Here is a 23,192-nt window from a genome sequence, read left to right as displayed (position 1 = left end):
CTTGAGGAAGTAGATTGAAGGGTCTTTAGAAGCTAGTCTGATTGTTCAGATCGAATTTGTTGTATAAATCTTTCTTTATAAGCCAAGACCCTCATTTGTAAAGGAAAGTTTGGATAAAATAAACAGTGGAAGAGTCTACCTTATGATTCTTTTGTCCAGCCAGATGGCAATACTGGAATATAATTGGAGTTGCATTTAGGTGGACGGTTACCACTAGGGATTCCCATTTAGAACATGCCATGTTGATTTGGGTGGCAACTTAGAGATACTCGGTTGGGAAGCAAGGAGGATAGTGTCATTCATTTCTACTACCTTGTGGTTGTCTTAAAAATATATATAAGCGTGAATGAGTATGTGCGAGTGTGTACGTGTGTGTGTTTAGGTCACAAAAAGTTGTGTTGGAATAAGGCCATGGTTGAGGCAAGAATGCTTACAAATAAGGAGTTGCTGAGCAGCAATAAAATCTCTGGGCAGTTTTCGTGGTCTAAAAATTGTGGATATTAATGGCCTGCTTCCCCATCATTTGCACTTGTCAGTTGTTACCTGCCATCAGTGCAATGCAGTAGTGACTACTGTAAGGGATGGGGAGTGGACTTTTGTCTTCTTTGTGTGGACTAAGGTTTATCACATCTCCTGGTGCCTTGGGATTCTCTTTATGGAGGAGGCTGAAGCGGAGGAGGGAGCATTTCCGCTGTGGTGTCTTACACTGGTGCTCATTCCTGCAGTGGACCACCGGGCTTTCACTCCGCATCCCCTGCCTTCTCCTGGGTTTCTGGCTCAGCCCTGACATTATTGTAATATAGTTTTCTGTGTTTAATATTTCTTAGACCTGGTTTCCCATTGCAAGCATGGAAGAAACCCTAATGCATGAGTTTCAGAGGAGAAGGTAGCAGTCTGAACCTGCTGTGTGGCTCCATCAGCAAGTGTGAGTATTAACGTTAGAGCTGTCAGGACTTGTGAAAATTAATGGAGCCTGACGGGGGACAGACTGAGGTCAGAGACAGAGCTTGCCCTGACTGAATGTTTCTGGTGGTTTTGTAGCTGAGTCAAGTGAGTGCAAACTGTGGAGCCAAGGGGGATTTCTGGAGTATGCAGTGGGTACCAACTAAGTGCTAAGCATTCTTCTAGGTGCCAGGGGTACAGCAGCAAAAAGTTGGCTCTGCCTCCTCATAGCTTATAGAACCCCCTCCCCACCTCCAGGCTGGACTCAGGCCTTCTCTGCTATCAGCCCCCAGTAATTGCCAAGGAAGGAATTTAGATGAAATGTCTCCTTAGCCCATCCTGAGCCTCATAGTTCTTCCATGCTCCTAGCAGTTGGTATTACTTTTTTCCTTTCATCTTCCTGCAGAATTTTCTGCTTGGCCAGTTTTCAAGCCCAGGTTATTCTTATTCATTCCTCAGTGAAATAGAGAGGCTTCAAAAGTTTTAACATTTTCCCTGTTCCTGCTGGAGTTACAATATTAAACATATAATAATAATTTTAAATAGGAAAAATTTCCTCCTTCTGTGTGCCTTGGGTGAAACAAAGTAACTTTATATCACTGGCATTAGGGAACAGGGTTTTAAAACAGGCATCTGGCACTGCCCCATTGCAGGCAGGTTTCAGAAATGTGATCAAATTGTTGTATATCTCTTATTTAGAAACAGTCCTGTGATAACAGGTCTGACTATATATTTGTTTGATTCTTTTAAATCCCAACAAGTTAGCTTTTTTTTCTAGCACATTACCAAGGGAAAGTGAGCCTGAAGGCTGTGCCCTGTGAATTTGATTTTCCTGGGCACCTGGGAGCCATAGCAAGTTCTTCTTCTGTCCTGTCATCTCTGTTGTTTTTCCTCCTGCTATAGAATGAGCTTTACTGACTGTGAGTGCTATGCCCCAGACATTTTTGGTTTCCTTATATATTTTAAAAATCTATAATATGGGAGAATAGAGGGGAGAGGGCATAGGGATTGGCAGTCTTAAAATATGTCAGCTTTATGGAACTAGGTTTTCTTTTATACAGGAAAATGACAAGCCATGTTTGCTTTTGGAGGCTCTCTTTCACAAAGAACTACTGCTGAATGCTGGGGTTTTTCTCTTGGTTTTAGCAGGAGTAAATAGGAGATAGTAATCAATTAGCCTTGCTGACCAGATCTCTGATTTTAAAAAAAAGGGTGTGGAGAAAGGATATTTGGTGTTAACCACGACCTGATGATTGTGATCGACCCTGTTTTCCATATTCCCTGTTCATGGGGAATGAAGAGTATGAGGCAAGAGTTGTCTTCTGAAAGTTGGCAGGCTGTATTAGTCTGTTCTCATGCTGTTACTAAAGATATACCTGAGACTGGGTAATTTATAAAGGAGAGAGGTTTAATTGACTCATAGTTCAGCAAGGCTGGGTAGGCCTTAGGAAACTTATAATCATGGCGGAAGGGGAAGCCTACACGTCTTTCTTCACATGGCGGCAGCAAGCAGAAGTGCTGAGCAAAAGGAGGTAAAGCCCCTTATAAAACCATCAAATCTCGTGAGAACTTACTATCATGAGACCAGCATGAGGATAACCACCCTCATGATTCAATTACCTCCCACCAGATCCTTCCCACAACACGTGGGGATAACAGGAGCTACAATTCAAGATGAGATTTGGATGGGGACACAGCCAAACCATATCACAGGCAGATTCCTGGGAAAAGTAAATGTTCTGGAATTGACCTTGGATTTTGGTTTGACCTAAACTTGAATTTTCTAGAGGAATTCATTCTATAATGATTTATAGCAGAAAACCTGATTGCAGTTGTTTGATACTTATTTTTGAGGAACATTAACTTGTATTGAGGGAGAGGGGCAAGCTAGAGAGGAGATCACGTTTGGCCAGAGCAGTGCTTATATATGTTTATTTTAAAATGCTGATGCACATGTGCCCCCAGTCCCCTCATTGTTCTCTATTATCTTCCACCTAGTTCAGCTCAATTCACATTGTTTCTTTACCTCCCTAGTCCATGTAGGTGTTTGAATTTATTACCTCAGACCTCCATTTTCCTATCAAAATCTCATCCTCATAATTGTAGCAACAAGTTTTTAGATTCTGGGACCTCACATAAAGTTGGCCTTCTCTTCACTGGGTAGGCTCCCACATTCTCCTGGGAGCCTGTAGATAAGAAATTGTACCAACAGCTGCAGTAGCATTCGGGGAATGTTTTAATTAAGCCAGGATGTGTTTTAATTGTTACAGCATGAGGCTGACACTGCTTTATTTCCCATACAGGAGAAGTCTGTGATATAGCCAGAGAAGCATCTAGAATGGAGAGTTCTGTTTCGTGGGTACAAACTAAAAGGGCCATAAATGCTTAATATTAGATAAAAGGTTACTATAGATGGATAATGGCATGAGGAGGATTCATGTATGAGTAGGCCTTAAGTCAAACTTTATCAAGTTGTCACATATGTGGGGTCATCTGAAAACTACTGGTCTGGGAGCCAAAGAGCTAGATTCTGGCCCCACTTGTGGCCTGTGACTGCACTTAGTAAGTGGCAGCACCTCTCTGGCACTCAGTTTCTTCATCCATAAAATGGAATTGCATGAATCAGTGGTTTCCTCTTAATTTTTTTAAGCCAGGGTTAACTTTCTTAGAATGATGAAATCTTTCCCCAGATGGTAAAATCAAGGAAAGCATAGCTGCTCTGGTGAACCTCAGAGAAGGTCGTTCCCCTCTGCCCTTCTCCATCCCTGGGGAGGCTTCACGGAGCACAGCTTCAAACCACTAGATTGTCTTGGAGGACCCTTAGGGGTTCATGTGTTGTGATTCATCAGAGCCATTATAAGTGGCATGTTAAATGTCCAGAGTTTTATAAGGGAGTTATGCTGACTTTGACATAAGTTGCTATGTGTTTGTTTTAACATTGTTATAGAGTTCATCAGACATGTGCATAGCTGGAGATCTTAAACTTTTCATCTATTCCTTGCTGCATGCTCATAGAAGAATAACCCCACCTGATTCTAAGAAGAAATTCTGGATATTCTGCATGAGTAGTCACTCTTGAGAGAAACAGTCTGGATGCTATCTATTACAGGTTATACTAATCATTCATGAATGAGAGGCCACTCGGCACATTTTTTGGTATTTGATAAATACTGGAAGACAGAGATATCTGGATGAGAGAAGGAGGCAAAAAGTTGTGTGTTAAGGGAATACATTGTGCGAGGTTAGGATTATCTCAACAGAGGTGCTGTGTTTGCATTGTGTGCAGGTTGGAGACCTCATAGCCGCACTGACCTTCACTTTTAGATCCAAATGCTTATTGGCCCTAATAATACTTTTGTTAGTTTGAAAGACATGTTGGAACATGCCAGTTTCTGCCATGAGAAAAATCAAAATGTTCTTTTTCGTCTTCAGATGCTTTGCTTTGAGAGTAGTGACATTGTGCCTGGCATCAGGGAGTGGTCCAATTTGTGGATAAACCAATGATTTATTGATGGCGATTGGGAAAGATGGTCATGACAATAACATAACAACACAGCTAATGTCTGTTGAGTGAATATAGAGTGTCAGAAACTGTGCAGGTTGTTTATATGCAGGATGTTGTTTAATCCTCACCATACTTTAGAAGCAGTATTTTATTTTTACCCTATTTATATCTGAGAAAACTGTAGTTTAAAAAGAGTTGGAGATTAGTCGGCTAGACTGGATGTTGGGGAGAAGGAACAGGACACTTCATGCGGGCTTAAAGTTGGAAGAAAATGTGACATTGGCTTAAACCTTACCATAGCCCAAGATGACAACCCGAGTTCCTGGAATTCTATGGAAGTTACCAGGAAGTCTTGTGGAGGTTCATTCGTTCCTTCACTTACTCAACAAATCTGAGTTGTGTGTCTGCCATTTTGAAGATACGGGACTAGGTACTTTGGGTCAATAAGGAACAACAAGCCATGATCCATGTCTTCAAGTCTATGGGGATACAAGTCACATGCAAAAGCAAAACTCAAAAATGGAGTAATAATAGTGAACGTGCACTGATGGTTTACTCTGCACCATGCATGTGCTTTAGAGGCTAAATTTCATTTTATCTTTGCCAAAACTCATGAGGTAGGTGTTATTATCCCCATTTTGCTAGCACACTTTAGAGAACATAAGGAATCTCCAAGGTCATACAGCTAACATGTAGCAGAGACTACAGAGTCCCCATTCTTATCCCCATGCTGCGTCCACAGTTTAAATTGTAATAGTTTTAAAATCGAATCATTAGGAATAGAAATGTGAGAAGCACAGTAAGAAACTATTACATACTGCCCATAGAAGTAAAGATGAATAAGGAGAGTGTCATGGAATAAGCATGCAGATGAGATAGGATGCAAAGGAAGCTGAGGAAGAAGAGAGAGGAGAGGAAATATCAGAGAGGGAGGAGGAGAACTTGGAGAGTGCCACAGCAGTAATCAAGGGAATGGATCACACCACTGTAGTGTGATCAACAGAGGTCAGAATTCAAATAAAGCCATGGCTTTGGCCATTAGGAGGTTATTAGTCACATTCCAGGGACGCTTTTGGAAGGAGAGTAGAAGCAGAAGCCAGATTGCATTGAGTAATTTTTGAGTAACCATTTGGCTGTACATTGTTAAATCTATTAATATAGTGGCCCATCAGGCAGAACAAATGTGGTAAGTGGGCTGTATGAGAAGAAATCAGAGAGGGGAGATCTCTTGGCAGACTGGAGGTCAGTTTTGCCTGATCTTTTGATTTCCCACAAGAAGCTGGAAGTGCAGAAACTTTTGGGTGATATTTCCTGAGTTCTAGATGTTAGTTCATTACAAAAACAAAACAAAACAAAAAACAAACAAACAAATAATAACCTCAGTTGAGGGCTAAGCATGACACATCTGAGGGCTGAATTGGTCCCACCAGCAGCAAGCTTATGGAATCCTCTTTTAAGAAGTTTAGAAGTGAAATGAGGAAGCATCTCAAAGAAGCAAAAAAGTCAAGGAATGTTTACGATCATGTTTGAGGCACGTATGTGTGTGTGTATGTGTCAAGGGTTGTTTGTTTTTGTTTTCTTGGAGTGGGTAAATATAAACTCACCAAGGAGGAGGATTCAATGTATAGAGAGAGGCCCAAAATATCAAAGAGAGGAGATGCCTGGAAAAGGAAGGTGCTTATGGGAGTGGGAGGAATCAGATTAAGAGGCCAATTTGCAAATTGAACATCCCTACTATGAGAATCCAAAATCCAAAGTGTTCCAAAATCTGAAACATTTTGAGCACTGACATGACACTCAGTGAAAATGTTCATTGGAGCATTTCAGATTTTGGATTTTGGGATTTGGAATGTTCAATCAGTGTAACACAAATATTCCAAAATCTGAAAAAATCCAAAATCCTAAATGATTCTGGTCACAAGCATTTCAGATAAAGGATGCTCAACCTCTGTTAGAAAGATAAGAAGATGCAAACAGATGGTGTGATGGGAAAGTGAAAAGGCAGAAGTGAAGAGAACCTCCCTCCTTCTGTACACATGTGGTTAGAGGGTATTTTGCATGTCTGGAGAGGGGCTCAGTTGGAGCCTGGGAGCTAGAGAGGAACCTGGACAAATTTTGTGATGGCTGCTTTGGGGAGGTAGTGGCTGGAGTGTGGGGCACTTAGAACGTCAAGTAGCAGCGAGGACCCTGTTGACTTTCAGTTCATGAGTATCTACTTATGTGACACCACTAAGTGCAGAAGATACAGAATAGATAAAACTCAAATAACTGCCTCTTTTATGGTCTCACTTACATTCTGTAGCTCTAACCTGAACTGATGAGCAAGTTTTCCACATCTCATTAATTCACTTCCTACCATTGTCACTTTATTGTCCCTGTAAGTTACCTCTACTATTTGCTCAGTAATTTTCTTGAAATTACCTCTTATTTTACATATAAAGATAGAAAAAAGGAAGCTATATATCATTACTTATACTTTTATATTGTATTTGTCCAAACAATGCATTCTTAAAAGTAGTTTTAAAATACAAAACTATTTGACATTTTGTCAAAGGTTCCTTTCCATTTCACCTAAAATAATCTTGTGTACCATTAGTAGAACATAGACCATGCCTTGGGAACGATGAAACTGGTTGGTTGGTAGCGTTCTTTTTTTTTTTTTTTTTGAGACAAGTTTTGCTCTTGTCACCCAGGCTGGAGTACAGTGGTTCAATCTCGGCTCACAGCAACCTGCACCTCCGGGGTTCAAGCAATTCTCCTGCTACCACACCCGGCTAATTTTTGTATTTTTAGTAGAGATAGGGTTTTATCACATTGGCCAGGCTGGTCTCAAACTCCTGACCTCAGGTGATCTGCCTGTCTTGACCTCCCAAAGTGCTGGGATTCCGGGTGTGAGCCACCGTGCCCGGCTGGTAGAGTTCTTTGGGTCATTCAGAGCAAGGATTTTTTTTCCATGTTAGAGTATATATATGGCCTTGGTTTTTTTTATACAAGCAGGTCAGCTTAGCTGGCATGATCTGAATAAAATGGAAAAAGGCAGGCACCTCTTTGCCTGACAATTTTAAAGTGTTGCTATTTGAATACCAAGAAGTTTGAAGCTTGACTGCAGGGCCTTCCCAATTAATCTAGTCTGGAAAAAAAAAAACAACGAAAATGCCGTCAAGTAACAGGAGATTTGTCAGCTGCCCTGTTTACACTTTTCATATAAAACATAAAGGTTGGCAGATTATAGATGAAAGGTCAGTTCAGCAAAAAAGAAAATATGTCAGACAATCTCATAACATCGGTAACAGAGGATAGAAGTTGGAAGCTACTACTGGATTCTCGGAAAAAGATGAGTTTGTTGGTGATGTGTAAATATCATCACCTTTTTTGTGGCTCTTCATTTTGGTGGCTACCTTTTTATGCTGAGTCTCCAAAATTTGATTTAAAAGACACCAAAGATGCTTGTCTTTCTGAGAAAGATTTACTTTGCAGCAGTTTTACTAAAAAGAAAGAAAGAAAGAAAGAAAGGAAAAACCCAGTCTGAAGGGGGAAAATATACTTCCTTTGCCATAGTGGCTAGTCTCACCCACGCTGTCCCTGAACCCGAGCCCTAAAACGAGGATAAATTGAGAAACCCAGGCTTCCTGCAAGAGCGGTGGCACATAATGAAAGGGTTTACAGTGAGTCCCATCATCGTGAATGATTAAAGGGGAACTGGGCAACTACAGTGTGACTTGTACAGGTAAAATCTTCTGCTCTAAGAATCACACAGTAAGGACCGGCCTTGGAAGACATTGCTGTCTGGGAAAACGTTTTAGCCTGTTCCGGCTTTGGGAGCACAGGTGAATTGGGGCGGGGAGCACTATTAGACTCATAGGGTCACAGAGCCATGATATTAGAGTTGTAGGGTCTCTCACAAATTTCCAGCATGTGCAGTACTGGGAATTTGTGGCCCTATTGATATATCTTTCATCTGCACTTGAAGTTCTGGAATTGTGCAAGATACCACCATTCTATCCAAACAACTTGCTATGTACATCATACTCTTAATTACCAAATTCGCATAAACATGCATTTGAGGGAGGCTTCCTATTCTTTTTTGAACTCTTCAGCATAGCCTTACAAATAACTGAGGCCAAAGACGTGACATACAGCACTGTGGGCTAGTAGTCAAAGATATCCATTGCTGCTTGGCCTCAGCGTTTCTGGTTTCCTCTCTCTGCAGTGTTATTTTCTATCAGACTGCTTTCATCTCTCTCTTAAGCCTCCCCATTATTGCCCTTGCTATATATGCAATTTTATTATTGTCAGAAATCTAACAATTAATAACTAAAGAAAAGGCAGTAATATACAAAACATGGTTTGGCAGTCTTAAAAACTGCTTCAATATTAGCAAATATGTTTGTGATGTGCTGCTGAGACTGTGTGGACTTCACAATGTAATCTTTACAGTTTGAATTGCTGAAATCCAAGTGGACTGACGATGGAACTTGCTCCCCTCACCTCCCCCCACCCCCCGCCCACAAAATTCTCTTCCCCACTAAGTTTCCTTAATGAAATCATTGAGACTCTGGCTTGCTGGTAAGGACCAGTTCTTACAACAAGTGTATCCAATTTCCTGCTAGTGGTAACTTTAATTCTTCCTGGAATAGCAGGAAACATTAATTTCACATCAGACCCATAGGTCTCAGAAAGCTGGAATTATAGGTGCCATTGTCCCACTCTTTTTTTCCTCCAAAATAAAATAAAATAAAAAGCAGCAGATGAACAGTGAGGCTTGAGGGATGGGTAGTGACAGAGTAAGGAAAAGAACATTAATTTCAGGTGGGGACAGCTGCCCGGCACTATCTCCCTTTGGATTTTCGTTCTTATAGCATCACGGTGAGTTATTAATATGTATGACCCGTACTTTATTCAAACATTATAAATCTATGCAGAAGTCTGGTGTTTGGGTTTTCCTTTATAGCTTTCATTCTTCTTCCCAGAATTATCTCATTTTGATCAGGAAACTTTTGCATAAAAAGCACACACTGAGAACTCACATTTCCATACCATAAATATTAAAAGAGGGTTAAACTTTACAGTTTCTTCTCCCATCCCAATAGGAGGAAAGTTAGCCTTCTAATCAGGGGGCCCTTACTAATGTTCTTTTTATTCACAACCCAAAAAGGAAACTTAAAATTAGAGTTGAAATATGAAATTATACTATCTGGTTCCTTTAATGTATGTCAATTATGGAATGTTTGACTATGCCATGTCTTTAGTATGAAGCATATACTAAAAATCTAGTAGTTATCTAAGTTGTTAAGAATAGTTGGTTAGATTATGTTTTGAGGACCAAACTAGGTACAGACCTTCTCTTAAGGATCGTGATTAAAGAGCTTTTTACTGGATAAATATAAAGTGTGGATTCATTACCCTGTGGATTCATCACAATGAATACATAGCATACAGAAGAGGGAAATGGAACTAGAAAACTTAATGTCTTTTTAGCAACGTTTTAGCTACTTAGCAGCTTCCTATTTCCCGTTATTGTCATTTTTGTTAGCATAAAGTAGTAGTCATAAATTCCAGTTCACATGGAAATGTAAAGGAATTTGCGAGCTATTTCATTTGGGTGAGCTGTCTGCTAATCACACAGTCTCGGCTGTTGTACTTTGTGATGGGAAATGAACGTGCTAATTGGTGCTCTTTTTTCTTATTTCAGGAAACCTGCCATATGAATATAAAATAGTGATTGCTGGGAATCATGAACTGACATTTGATAAGGAATTCATGGCAGACCTTGTTAAACAGGACTACTACCGTTTCCCCTCTGTGTCCAAATTGAAACCAGAGGACTTTGACAATGTTCAGTCCCTCCTGACAAACAGTATTTACTTACAAGATTCGGAGGTAACAGTGAAGGGATTCAGGATATACGGTGCACCTTGGTAAGTGATGATTCAAACAGTTTTCCACATTGCTTTTTAGCTCAGTACCAAGAAAACACAGCTCAGATTTAGATGCTTTAAATGAAAATGATTAGGATGAAAGGAAACCTTATTGCTGTATTTCCAACAAAATACATACTGTACTGCTGCAAAATGCAACACTTGTTGTTTTCATTGTGATAGAGATCCCTTTAGGCAAGATCAATAGGAGTTAAAGCTTTCCTAGATATATACAGTCATGCCTCCCTCAGTGTCCATGGGGTATTGGTCCAGGACCTCCCACTGATAAAATTCCATCATGCTCAAGTCTTTTATATAAAATGGTGTAGTATTTGCATATAACCTATGCACATCCTCGTGAAGACTTTAAATCATCTCTAGATTACTTATAATACATAATACAATGTAAATATGATATAAATCATTGTTATGTTTTATGGTTTAAGGATTAATGACAAAAAATATCCAACATAGAGGCAATCCTTTTTCCAATATTTTCTTTTCTTTTCTTCTCTTTTCTTTCTTTCTTTCTTTCTTTTTTTTTTTTTTTTTTTTTTTGAGGTGGAGTATCTCTCTGTTGCCCAGGCTGGAATGCAGTGGTGTGATCTCAGCTCACTGCAACCTCCGCCTCCTGGGTTCGAGCAATTCTCCTGCCTCAGCCTCCAAAGTACCTGGGATTACAGGCACATGCCACTGTACCCGGCTAATTTTCATATTTTTAGTAGAGACGGGGTTTCACCATGTTGGCCAGGCTGGTCTTGAACTCCTGACCTCAGGTGATTGGCCCGCCTTGGCCTCCCAAAGTGCTGGGATTACAGGTATAAGCCACCGCTCCTGGCCCTTTTTCTAATATTTTCTATCCTTGGTTGGTTAAATCCCTGGATGCGGAACCTCTGATTATGGAGGGCTGGCTGTATATGTTTATGTTACTGGGGCTGGGTGTATGTCTGTGTGACACAGAAGGATTTGAGAGGAGGTCACCATGCTACCCTTCACATAGATTCAGCTGCTCTGAACATTCCATCAGCCTTAGGTAACTCATTTCCCTCTCATTTTGTACTGGAAGCAGTCATAAAATATCTTGCTTAGATTAGGGTTTCTCAAACCTCCCTACACATCAGAATTACCGTCTCTGTAGAAATATAGATTTTGAAGCCCTTCCTCCAGAGACTCTGATTGTCCTTCCTGAGATGAAGCCCAGCAGTTTGTATTTTTTAAAGTTACCTGGGCAAGACTGATGCACAGGTGGTTTGAAAGTTACTGGTTGAGAGCTGGCACTAGAATTCTCAGAACTAAGCTCTGGAAAACTTGAAACAGGTACATGTATCCTTGGAGGCCAGACAAGAAGCGTGTCAATCTTGATTGTATCAGTTGACAGTTGTCAGGTTTTAAAGGAGTTACTTCACAGTGTCTGAGCCTCAGTTTTCACATCTCTAAGATGGTGAAGATGATACCTATTTTAGAGGGTTATGATAAGGATAAAATAGGTAAAGTTTGCAGTGGACTGAAGAGAATATCGGATAGTTTGCTTAGGGTATGAATTATAATTTTTCTGGCCTTGGGCTCTCCCACTAAGTATTTATGTGAACTTAGGCAAGTCATTTAGGCCCTAGAGCCAGTTTTTTTTTTTATCTTTAAAATGAGAATGTTAGACTAAATGATTGTCAATATCAGCAGGTTCTAGGACTTTTTTTTTTTTTGAGGGTGTATATAGAGCAAAACTAACCTGTGTGTGTGTATGTAGAGCAGAAGAACTCACCTTTACTCACTTAATACAGAAAAGTACCCCAGTCCTTCACTAGGAGTTGTGGATAGGACTGGAAAAAGACAAGCAGACTGAATTCAGATTGGTCACTTTACTCAACAGTTTGGCTTGTCCTCTGTAAGTTAAAAGGTTGAGATATTTTCTTTTTTTTTTTTTTTTTGAGACGGAGTCTCGTTCTGTCGCCCAGGCGGGAGTGCTGTGGCGCGATCTCCGCTCACTGCAAGCTCCGCCTTCCGGGTTCACGCCATTCTCCTGCCTCAGCCTCCCGAGTAGCTGGGACTACAGGCGCCCGCCACTGCGCCCGGCTAATTTTTTGTATTTTTAGTAGAGACGGGGTTTCACCGTGGTCTCGATCTCCTGACCTCGTGATCCGCCCGCCTCGGCCTCCCAAAGTGCGAGATATTTTCTATAATTTTTTTTCTAGCTTTACGAGTTGGTATCCAGAAGGACTGGTGAGTGGGTACAGGAAGTACATATCTGTTTAAAATCAACCCCGACAATGATTTTGAACTCTTAATTAAGTACTTCCTATATGCCAGGCATTGTCCTACATTTTTTGTATACGTGTCATCTTATTTAATCCTCAAAATACCTTTAGGAGATGGGCACTATTATGATTCTCATTTGGCAGATAAGAAAATCCAGGTGCAGAAAAGTTAAGTAATTGCTCAAGAATCGCCACAGATAATAAGAGGTCTGATTTGAACCTGACAAGTCTGATTCCAGGGTGTACAGCATGACTGAGGGGTGGCAGGGGTTGGGATGTGGTAATTGGTGGTTATAATCCTCAGATCCAGTTTATACCTAGCTTTATTTAGTAAGGTACGTCAATTTATTTTTTTAATGTGTGAGAACGTGGTAAAGGGCAAGAGAATAAACAGCAGAAATCAGTCCTGTCAAACTGTAATCTGGGGTCATGTAGGATGTTGATATTAGCATTTCTGGGTAAAGGGCAGGAGACAGAGCATTTCCAGCTTCACAGCCCAGTTCTTAATGTCAGTACAGTAGTTGAGGAATGACCTCTGATTGGCAGAGGTGCTCTACATGCAAGTTAAGATCATTGTTTAAAAATAATTTAAGATTACTTTTGAAAAAATCCTTAAAAGGCACAGGACATTTAAGGCTATTCCTGAGCAAGCAGATGTTCAGAAATCCCTGGACTGATAGTTGCTGAAATGATGACAGCAACAAACTTCCTCCATTATCTGAGCTGATTCAAATCTGTTTAGGACAGGGTTCAGCTAAACTAGATTGTAGCTGTGATGAATGAGGGAATGATTTTGGTCCTCAGGCAGATCTTGCAGCATCTCAAGCAATCGAACAAACAGACTAATTCAGATATGTGATGTGGCAGGGCATGATCTGTTTTTGGTGGTGCTGCAAACTGCAGACAAAGTTTATATCTGAACTGGATTGATATCATTTAAAATGTTTTAATTTTAATACTGGCAAGGTAGCAAAGTCAAGAAAATAAGCACTAATCAGTCTTCTGAAATGTTCTCCTAAAGGTGTCCTTAGACTTAAGTCTGTTGAGATTTCCACAAAGCTTCAACCATTTCCTATTGAGCATCTCTTTACAATGAGGGAGATCTTTAAATGATTTTTGCCCCATCCATTGGAATTGTTGATACTTTGTATTTTGACCAAGAATACAGAGGTTGACAAAAATGATATTTCAGTTTCATCATCTGTTTTTGGGAGGCATCAGTAGTTTGGATCTCACTGTGAAGATATTTCATCAAAATTAATATTCCCAGAGCTACTGATAATCTGAACATCGATTTAGAAATGTCTGCATTAGCATTTCTGTGCTAGGGAGGAGAGTATTTGCCATCTTTACCACTTGCTCAGTGGGACCTTGGGTGAGTTTCTTAACATCTGCCTGCCTCTGTTTCATCTCTAAAATGGGAGAAAACATTACGGTTTCATGGTTGTTATGAAGATAGAATTAATGCATCCACAGTGCATAGAAGACTTTTTAGCATGGAGTAAGCATTTGATAAATGTTAGCTATTACTACTAATAGTGATGTGTTAATGTTTCCAAACTACTTTATACCTCTGTCAACCTTCATAAGGAGACTATGGGACTAGGAGTGAGATTAGATAAGTTTTAGCCCTAGTTCACCTTCTGCCCATTGGGTGACACTAGGCAAGTCCCTTAACTTCTTCATTTAGTTGTAAAACATGAGGAATGAGGTCTGCCCTTGTTTCTCTCATATGCCACCCACTTAAATGGTCATCAAAGTTAGAATTTTCAAAAACAATACATATTTGTGAGCATGCTTGAATTCCTTTAATGTCTTGTACAATTTTTAACCTCTTTTATTATTAAGAAGCAACGTTTGGGAGAACTTATACCATAGGTACCACTTTTCTCCCCTCGGAAATTAGATTTTTTCCATCTCTGAGATTTACACATAGGTGAGTCCCTGCTTAGTAACCCAACAGATATTTCAACCCAAAATAATGTAAATTGATTGTTTGATTTCCCTGTTTTCACAGTGACTTTTTTGGAGGAAGTATTAAGTTCTGCATTGCTGATACCGCTAGTGGTTTTAAAAATAGAAATCAAAATAAGAACCCTGATATTAAGGATTCACAGGTTTCTCAAAAGTAATCGCCATCAGACTAGGAAAATAGCTATAATTCATGTATTTAGAAGATATGGATTGTGGCTTGGTCTAGCTACAGAAAAAGAATATTAGTCTGTATTTGTTACATGTTGATAACTTGCAACACAGCTGAAAGCTACCTCAAGACTAGGGAGAATTAAAGTAGTGTTTTCTAATTTACAGTTTAACAGGAATTGGTATGTAGAAAATAACTTACAACACACCAGAGCATTTATATATGTTTGCAACCGTAATGTTCTGTAGTACTTACTAGATCCCCAAGGAAGAGGCTTTGAATGTGGTTTGATAGGTCTGGGAAAATCCAGTGGCCTAAACTGAAGATGTTATAAGTGGGATGCCAGGTCTGGAAGGAAAGGGGCTCCCTCAAATGGGAAGGCAATAGTTGATGAATTCTTTAGGGGCACCCTTACCTCAGGAGGCCTTAAGGCAGGTTTTATGGCATCTGTATGTATTCCTTCACCATCTCATTCTTCCAAGAATCTGGAAGAAAGGCATCAGGCATCTTTTTAACAGTTCAGCCACAGATTTGCTTCACTTCTCCTATTGTTGTTTTTTTCTCATTCTTTTTTGGGAGTGCAGAAGAAGAAGGTTTTTTGTTGTCAGGCAGGTGGGTCAGCCTCATACATACTTCGTACCATGGGAGAGCTTGTGGATTGCTTGCATACCTAAAATTGATTCTCTGCCACCAGTGGTGCCCAATTTTGTCTTTGTGACTCACTCTCAGCTCTGTAACATCTTTCTCAAAGGCTGAGTATGGTTAGAAAGGGAACAAAATTCTAATCTGTCAAATACTAGCCCCTGTGGTAACTAATGGCATGTCTGGCTGGGTAGAGGTAAGGTAGAGTTTTGAAATCATCTTTGTATTTTTGATTACTGAATCTGTAGCCAGCTTTTTAACACAAGCAATTTGGGGTAAACTTACTCGTGGGACTAGGCTCTTCTTTTGCTGTTTTGATACTAAGATACTGTGCAGAAAAAAAAAAAATCCACATACTAATTGATCAGCAGCCAAGCTGCAGAAAGTGAAAGGTCTATATTGCACCGACTGGAGCAGAGCAGTTGTATTGTTCAGCGAAAGCCTGCACCTTGTTCTTCTCTTGAACAGAAATACAGAGCTGGTCTCCCGTGGCTTTTAATGAATATGAGTGGGGCTTTCCAATGTCCAGGAATTTGATCTCTAGGCTGACCAAAGGGTCAGGAACAAAGAACACATTTTTTCACGTTAGAGTGGACCCAGGTGTAATTTGTCAGATTTAGTAACTGTGGAGGAAGTGCCTTAACTTCTCCAGCAGGAAAATTAGATCAGGCCTAGGCAGTGCAATTCTAAAATGGCTGAAATAGGAAGAGAAAGTCTGTTGAGTTGCATTTTCAAAGGAAGTGTGAGCAGGATTTGTTTTCCCTTCCTCTCTTCCCCTCATTTCCTATCATAACCATGTTGAATTCATTCATTCATTTAGATGTAATTTTCTCAGCATTTTTCAAAGTGGGAGTTGATTTCACTCTCTGCAGCATTTCTAATTGTGTTTGCACACAAATAGCTACAAGGTTGCTCACATTTCCCTTGTTCTGATCAGTGCAATAGTACTTTATGTTTACTCTGTCAGGAAAGCGTCAGATGTTTTTATTTCCAATTATAAGTTTTGTAATGCATCATGTATTTTGCTGACAGTCTTCAAGTTCTTGAAATAGTGAACAAATTAACAGCAGATATTGAGTGAGAGGATTAGAAAACCAACTGGCAACTCATATGATAGAATTCAGATACAGGGATGGGTGGAATGGGCTCATTTATTTTATTTTCTCAGTCATACTTTGTAATTAACTTAGGCAAAAAAAAAAAAAAGGAGAAGAAGAAGAAGAAAAAAGAAAAGAAAGAAACAGCTCCTTGTTCAGCAGAAAAATCCTTTGGCACTAAAGAATGAGACTATGCAAACAATATTGGTTCTGTACGACGTTTTCAGGGATTTCAGCTTTTATTCAGGAGGGTTCAGAAAGGTGTTGGCACAGAAAAAGGTCTTGTGTGTGTGTGTGTGTGTTAAACAAATATGCACTCTGCTCTTACATGATTCTGTTTAAAGGCCCAGGGTAACATTTCATTTTTCTTGGCACAGGGCCCATAGACTCTCCCATTATGAAACCTATGGCTGTTCTGCCCTAGTCTAGAGTTACAGGGCTCTGTTTACATTTTTGCCTGTTTCAGAATGCAGCTGACTGCTCTTAAAGCCCGGATCAGATTCACTTCTGGTTTAACAACTGCCCTGTTTATTTGAAAAAGGAGAAAGCAAAACCGATCACTTTGCTTCCTACCTCGCCATTGATGACCAAATCAGTAAATACCATTTCCAAAGCCAGTTTATGCAGAACTGGTCATGTGGGATCTCACTCGTCCCTTTCTGCCAGCTCTGTCCAATTCAGCCTTCAAAGCCTGCCGGGTGCCTTTATCTGATGTGTTGGTGGTGGTTGTATGGAAGAATGTGGAGGTGCTAAAGAAGTATTTGTCTGCATTCAATTATGCTTCATAGCAACCGTTGGCATAATTTATATTTTTGCCTGCACATTCTGAGAGAGCCATTTGGCAAACAACAATAATAAATTTACATTTGGATGGTGTATTTCACTCAGAGAACTTTCATATGTATTATCTCATTTGGGGCTCACAACAATTCTTTAACCAGGGTATGTATTACTAATAATAATTAACAATAGCCAGCATTTACAGTGTTTATATGTCAACTGCTGTTCATTATTGCCTCCTTTTGACAGAGACCAACATAGAGAGTTTTTGACAGAGAAAGTGACTTGCCCAAAGCTACAGACTTAATTTGAGGGCAAAATAGGACTAGAATCCAGGCTTCCTTTGCGGAGTTTGCTAGACTAAACCAGGATATCCTAGATGTCTGTCTACTCCGTGGCCTGAGCAACTCAGGAAGTAGCTGCTTTTCATCTTAGAAGACCTGGACGTTTTCATCTAGTTGCAAAAAGGGTGTACAGAAATCCAGGCCAGCACCCTTCAGGGGCTCTCAGGATTAAGTGGTGAGGTGTGCTTCTAGGGGAAAATAGGATCATTGAGGGAAGAGAAAAAACAAGTGACTCAGACACTAGGGTTTAAAAAGAAAAATTGGCCAGGTGCAGTGACTTGTGCATGTAATCCCAACACTTTGGGAGGTTGAGGTTGGAGGATCACTTGAGCTCAGGAGTTTGAGACCAGACAGGGCAACATAGTGAGGCCCCATCTCTACAAAATTAAAAAATTAGCCAGGCATGGTATGTGCTTGTAGTCCCAGCTACTTGGGAGGTTGAGGCAGGAGGATTGCTGAGTCTGGGAGGTCGATGTTGCAATGAGCCGTGAGCACACCCCTGCACTCAGCCTGGGTGACAGAGGGAAACCCTGTCTCTCACACACACAGATTTATGTCTTAATGTGTTATAAGGCATGAGTCAGCTCCTGCTGTTCCTGCACCACAGAGGCAACTTCCTCCACAACACATATCAGGAGGCAAGTATAGGTTGCATGTGGCTTTTTCCCTCTGAAGAACCATGCAGTGGAGAGAGACAGCAGCCCTGGGCATATGCACCAAGAGGGAAGTGCTGGCAGTGTACTTCGGCTGCAGTCAGACCTGCCATGGGCCCACACTGTGCTCCACAGAAGACCTGGACCTCCACTTTGGGACATGGCTGGCTGGCTGCTGGGTGTTCTTTCATTTTCTCCTATTACACTAATAGGCTCCTTTTAATCCAGAGTTGCTGCTGGTGGATAGAAAGAGAGTATAAAGTGATTACAAGCTCCATCAGAGCAAGGACCTGTACTTTGTCCTCTATGCATACCCTAGGCAAGCTCAGTGCCTGGCACATAGTAGATGCTTGGTCCCTGTCTTCTGAACGAATGAATGAGTGAATCAGGGTGGTGGTGGTAGAGATATGTCTCTGGCTGGTGAACTGAGAATTTACACAGATTAGACACCCAGTGACAAAAGGAAAGAAAGTATTTCCAATACAAGATCAGGCACAGTCATGGACATACAAAACGGAAAGACTAGAGATGATAGAGCAAAATGGAACCAAGCAAAGCCCTAAATGATGTCCATGGGCTTTAATAACATGTGTTAACAAGGTACATGTACCTAGATTCTTCCTGAACACTCAGAAATCTAGCATCTCTTCAGGTGAGCATCGTTCAATAAAAGTGAGAAATGGGAGTAGGACAAATCTTACATTAAACCTCACAGTACGGCAGTGAGAGTTTTCAAAGAAAGCCTCCACCAGCAATTTTAGGCTTTTTGGTATCATTTCTTCAGCTCAGACACCTTATTCCCGTACTGTGAGCAGCTCTAGAAATCACTCTTAGTTACAGAGACCGTCGCTTCAAGGCTGCAGTCAAAGTAGTTGGTGTCAAGTTTGAGATTGGTCGGAAGCTAGACCAGGTGGGCCCTCAGAACGTCCTATGGACATTAAAACCAATTGTCAAATATACAGTATTCCCTTTTCTCAGTGGCTGAATTCTCAGTGATTGAGTTCTTAGCGTCGTGTAGATTCTGTACCAGTTATATTCAGGCTACTTGACAAACACTGATTACTTATTTTGTACTCTGAACTGTAAGTGAAGAGTGAACTTCTCCAGGTCTTGCCAGACAGTGAGCCCACTAGAGTCCCATTGACAGTCTTAACCTGTATTTATTTGGTTCCAGCCTTAGCTGCTTCTGTCTTCCTGTGATGCATTTCTCCTCTGTGGCTCAGATGTGTTCACAAGTTAGTTTAGGTAACCACACTGGATACTTTCATCCTTCTCCTAATCTCTGATGAAGGTGAGATGGGTTTTGGAGCACACATATATTTGGAGAGATGAGGTTGCTCCTTCCACTGGGTGCTCCTCTTTTGCCAGCACCACATCTGCAGAGCCGCAGGACATCCTTCCGCCCCTTCTGATGAGCCTGCATGCTGCCAAAGTTGTTTCACAATAAAGCCTTAATAATCAGAGCCATGTTGTGTTATGTGCTTCATACAGGAGAAGCCCCCTGCCTTCTAGGCTGTTTTGTGAGAGCAATGTCAAGGCATGATGTCACCCACCCTCTCAAGGGTTCATCTATAAGCCCATGGGAGGCTTGGTCGGGCTTGTAGAGCCACCATGTGCCTAGGGACATCCCCTCTGATGGCGAAGGCTTTGTTGAAACTGTTCTCCAAAAAAATTATTGCTAATTCTCTCTTCCCTTAAACAAGCAGTTCCTTAGGCTACAAAACTTCTGGCAGGGCCTCCCCAGCAGGAAGGCATGTGCTCCCCACATTGGGCATAGCTCAAACATCTACAACTCTGTTTTACTTACAGAAGGAGGGAGGCAGTGGTATAGAGCTCCGCGGGGTTTGGCCTTAGAAACAGGCTGTTCCCAATAAGCTTGGCTCTCACTTTGATTATTTAGAACTTATTTACCTTGTTACACATGTTATGTGTAACATGTGTAAATGTTACACATGTTATTTACCTTGTTACACATGTTATGCAATCTCTCTGAACCAGTTTCATCTGTCAAATGTGTATATAAGTAATAATAATAACTACTATTTATTGAGCATCATTCACATACAGGTACCAGACGTAAAATTGTTTTAAAGCCTCAAAGCAACCCTATAAAGGAGATAAATATTACCCTCATTTGGGAGATGAGAAAATTAAAGGTTAGAGAAGTTAAATAATTCACTCAAGGACACTTATTTTGCAAAGAACTGTAAATCAGTCCCAAATCGGTTTGCTTCCAAAGCCTTTATGTTCTTCACTACTTCTGTATATTTTTCATGGGATTAAAATAAGATCATGTATGTTAAGTTCCTGGCACTCGGTGAATGCTCAATTAATATTATTTTTTTCCCCGAAAGGTAACAGTTGTTAGTTTTGTAATGGCTATTATTTTTTGGTTTTGTTTTGTTTGCTTCGTTTCTATGGTGGTATTACCATGGTAGAAGAGAAGAAGCAAAAAAGAGTAGAAATGAGATAAATAGGAAACTTAGTCTAGGAAAATGCTTACCCCTGTTTGTGTATTGGTGGGGGAAGGGGGATAAAGGAAGAGAGAAACTGTTTAAAGTGAATATTGTACAGTTTCTTTGCATGGCAGGTTGCTTATGATCTGGATACGTAGAAACCATTTAAGAAAGGAACCCCATATTCCGCTGCATTTGGTCAAAAGGCATGGAAGAGTGGATAGACGTCTGTTAAATGAAGACATATGGGCATTTTGAAGGTCACTTACATGGAGTATCATTTTCAGTGTATGAGTAATGTTGGCAGTGTGTTTCCACCCAGGAAAAATAAAAGTAATCTTGGATGGTGACTATAAATTAAATGTGGACTGTTCCATGAGGGCTGCTCCAACACCAAGTGAGTGTCAAACTTTGAAGTTTCTGGGTTTAGCAGAATGCATATGCATTCTGCAAAGAGCTGCAAAGGTGAGCTACAAATCTGCATTAATTCAGGAGAGGATATGGGAAGACTGTTTTGCTTAAATATAAAAAATCAGCTTGGTTAAAGTGTAAATACAGTTACTATAACTAATAATGTCCAAGTATAAAATTTGTAGCAAGAAAAGAAATAAACAGGCAATGAGAAGTACCTGGTATAGAAGGGCATACTAGAAGAAGTGGTTAAGACCTAGCTTAAATAATAGTCTTCCTAGGATGAAATTTCCTAAGACAGCATCTGAAGGTGCCAGTGATATTTAATGATTAATTTAGATATTTTCAGGCCCAATGTCTTGGTGTGGTGGGTTTACAGGATGGATCACATTAAATAAAAAATGGTGCTAAAATTTCATGTAAATCAACATTGAAGACTAAGTGAAACCAATGCTATATTTGTAAAGGAAAGAAAAAGAAGAGCAGAGTCAACATATTGATTTTTCATTCTTTCCTAAACTTGGTAATGAACTTCTTTTATACATTATGTACAAAATGATTGCATATAGAACTACGTGCCTCTGATGGCTGCCTGGTTTAATAAACTGTGATTATTGTTTTTCTCTCTACATTTCAAGCTACCATATGTACTGAATTTCTGGGATATATCAATCTCAAAGCTAAACCTAATAGGATATACTGACTTTCCATGCCACACAAGGCTTCATGAGCCATGGGAAGTAGCTTTGGAGCGCCATGGTTCTAGAAAGAGGATTGTCAAAGACAGACACTCAGGAAAAAAAAATGTTTTATTGTCTTAATGATTTAAAAGTTCAACTCTTAAATCACTAGCCATAATTCAGGCCTCTTATTGAGTCAGTCATCAGTAGAAAAACCTTTCTTGCTTTGATCTTTGAAGAACAAAATAAAAGATGCTAGACTAAAACCTAATCAGAAATTATTGATGGCAAAACTAACTAGTTGGAATAGGCTATTGGCAGAAGTCTCTCTCCCACTTTTCTTCTTTTCCTTTGGTGTTATGATTTAAGGGGAAAAATTATGGAAGACAAGTTTGTTTTAAAAACTCATAGGGTTCATTTGTGGGTTTTGCATTTGTATATATATATTTTTAAATAATAATAAGAAAGCACTTGAGAATGAGGATTTTAGCCTATGCTGATGCTACTGCTTCTGTTGCTAAACATTACTTAATGCTTCCTGTTTTTCAGAAGAAATAGCCAAGACTAGTTCCTTTTCTTATCCACATTCAGCCATTTCCCTTAAAAAGATAAGTTCTGAAAAAAGTACTTACCTGTTGGGCAGTAGAATAAGTAGAAAAATGGAAAACCCAAATGTGTGTGTACAATGCTGGGTCTGACCTTTACGCTTTTAAATAATTCTTACCGGAGGCAAATTCTGTGTGGTTGCCGGCTTTCATAGCAGCTTCAGAGGCAGGCCCATGAGAGACGAGCGAATTTTCAGGGTATTGAGTGCCTTGCTACATTCACACTGTATGTGCCGTTCAAGATTACTATTGAAGGGAAAATCACAAGGTATTGGTTTTTAAGGAGGGTATTCGTATTTAAGGCTATTTGCTGTAGGAATTACCTTCTACAGAGTTTGAACTCTGTTCTGAAAAGTCTGAGAGAAATAGAAACAGTTCATAGGAAATTTTGAAGTTTGGCTAGCCTGTAAACCACAGGCTTAACAGTGCTCTAAAGTCAGTTCTGAGACTTTGTAACTCTTGATACATAATTATGAATGCATTTTTGCTTTGTTGATTGTTCCAATAAACAGAATCAGTGGATTATTGGTTAAGCAGAATACAAATATGCCAGAGAAAATTCATTCTCTTTGTCTCACTCTGAAAATATTGCATCAAATAATCTGAACGAGACCAAAAAAGCTTTTTGTCTGAGTTTCTACAAGTAACAGTAGAAAAAACAATGAAAGGGAAATAGTTAAATATAGAAAATCATCAAAAATAGAAATCATGCAAAAAGTAGACATCTCGATTCTTAAAAATTATGTTTCCCAAGCTGTGCAAAC

General features: G+C 40.0%; 1 protein-coding gene across 27 annotated transcripts in view; it reads left to right on the top strand.

The window, feature by feature from the left end:
- MPPED2 (metallophosphoesterase domain containing 2) overlaps positions 1-23,192 on the top strand; it is a 202,912-nt gene that overhangs the window by 81,330 nt on the left and 98,390 nt on the right. For 22 of the 27 annotated variants that reach the window (NR_165336.1, NR_165340.1, NR_165338.1 and 19 more), the window contains one exon: positions 10,140-10,365. The exons of 1 other annotated variant lie outside the window; for it this stretch is intronic. Coding sequence is in view for 13 of the 26 variants with exons in the window: in NM_001377956.1 (NP_001364885.1) it covers positions 10,140-10,365 (226 nt within the window). In the remaining 13 variants the exon portion in view is untranslated. Of the gene's footprint in view, positions 1-827; positions 926-10,139; positions 10,366-23,192 lie in introns of all 27 variants that reach the window. 4 more of the 27 variants (NR_165339.1, NR_165348.1, NR_165346.1 and 1 more) reach the window with 1 other exon arrangement.

This window comes from Homo sapiens, chromosome 11 (genome assembly GCF_000001405.40).
Source record: "Homo sapiens chromosome 11, GRCh38.p14 Primary Assembly".
NCBI classification, from domain to species: domain Eukaryota; kingdom Metazoa; phylum Chordata; class Mammalia; order Primates; family Hominidae; genus Homo; species Homo sapiens.
The sequence above is the reverse complement of the archived record's forward strand: the minus strand, read 5'-3'. Positions and strand labels throughout refer to the sequence as shown.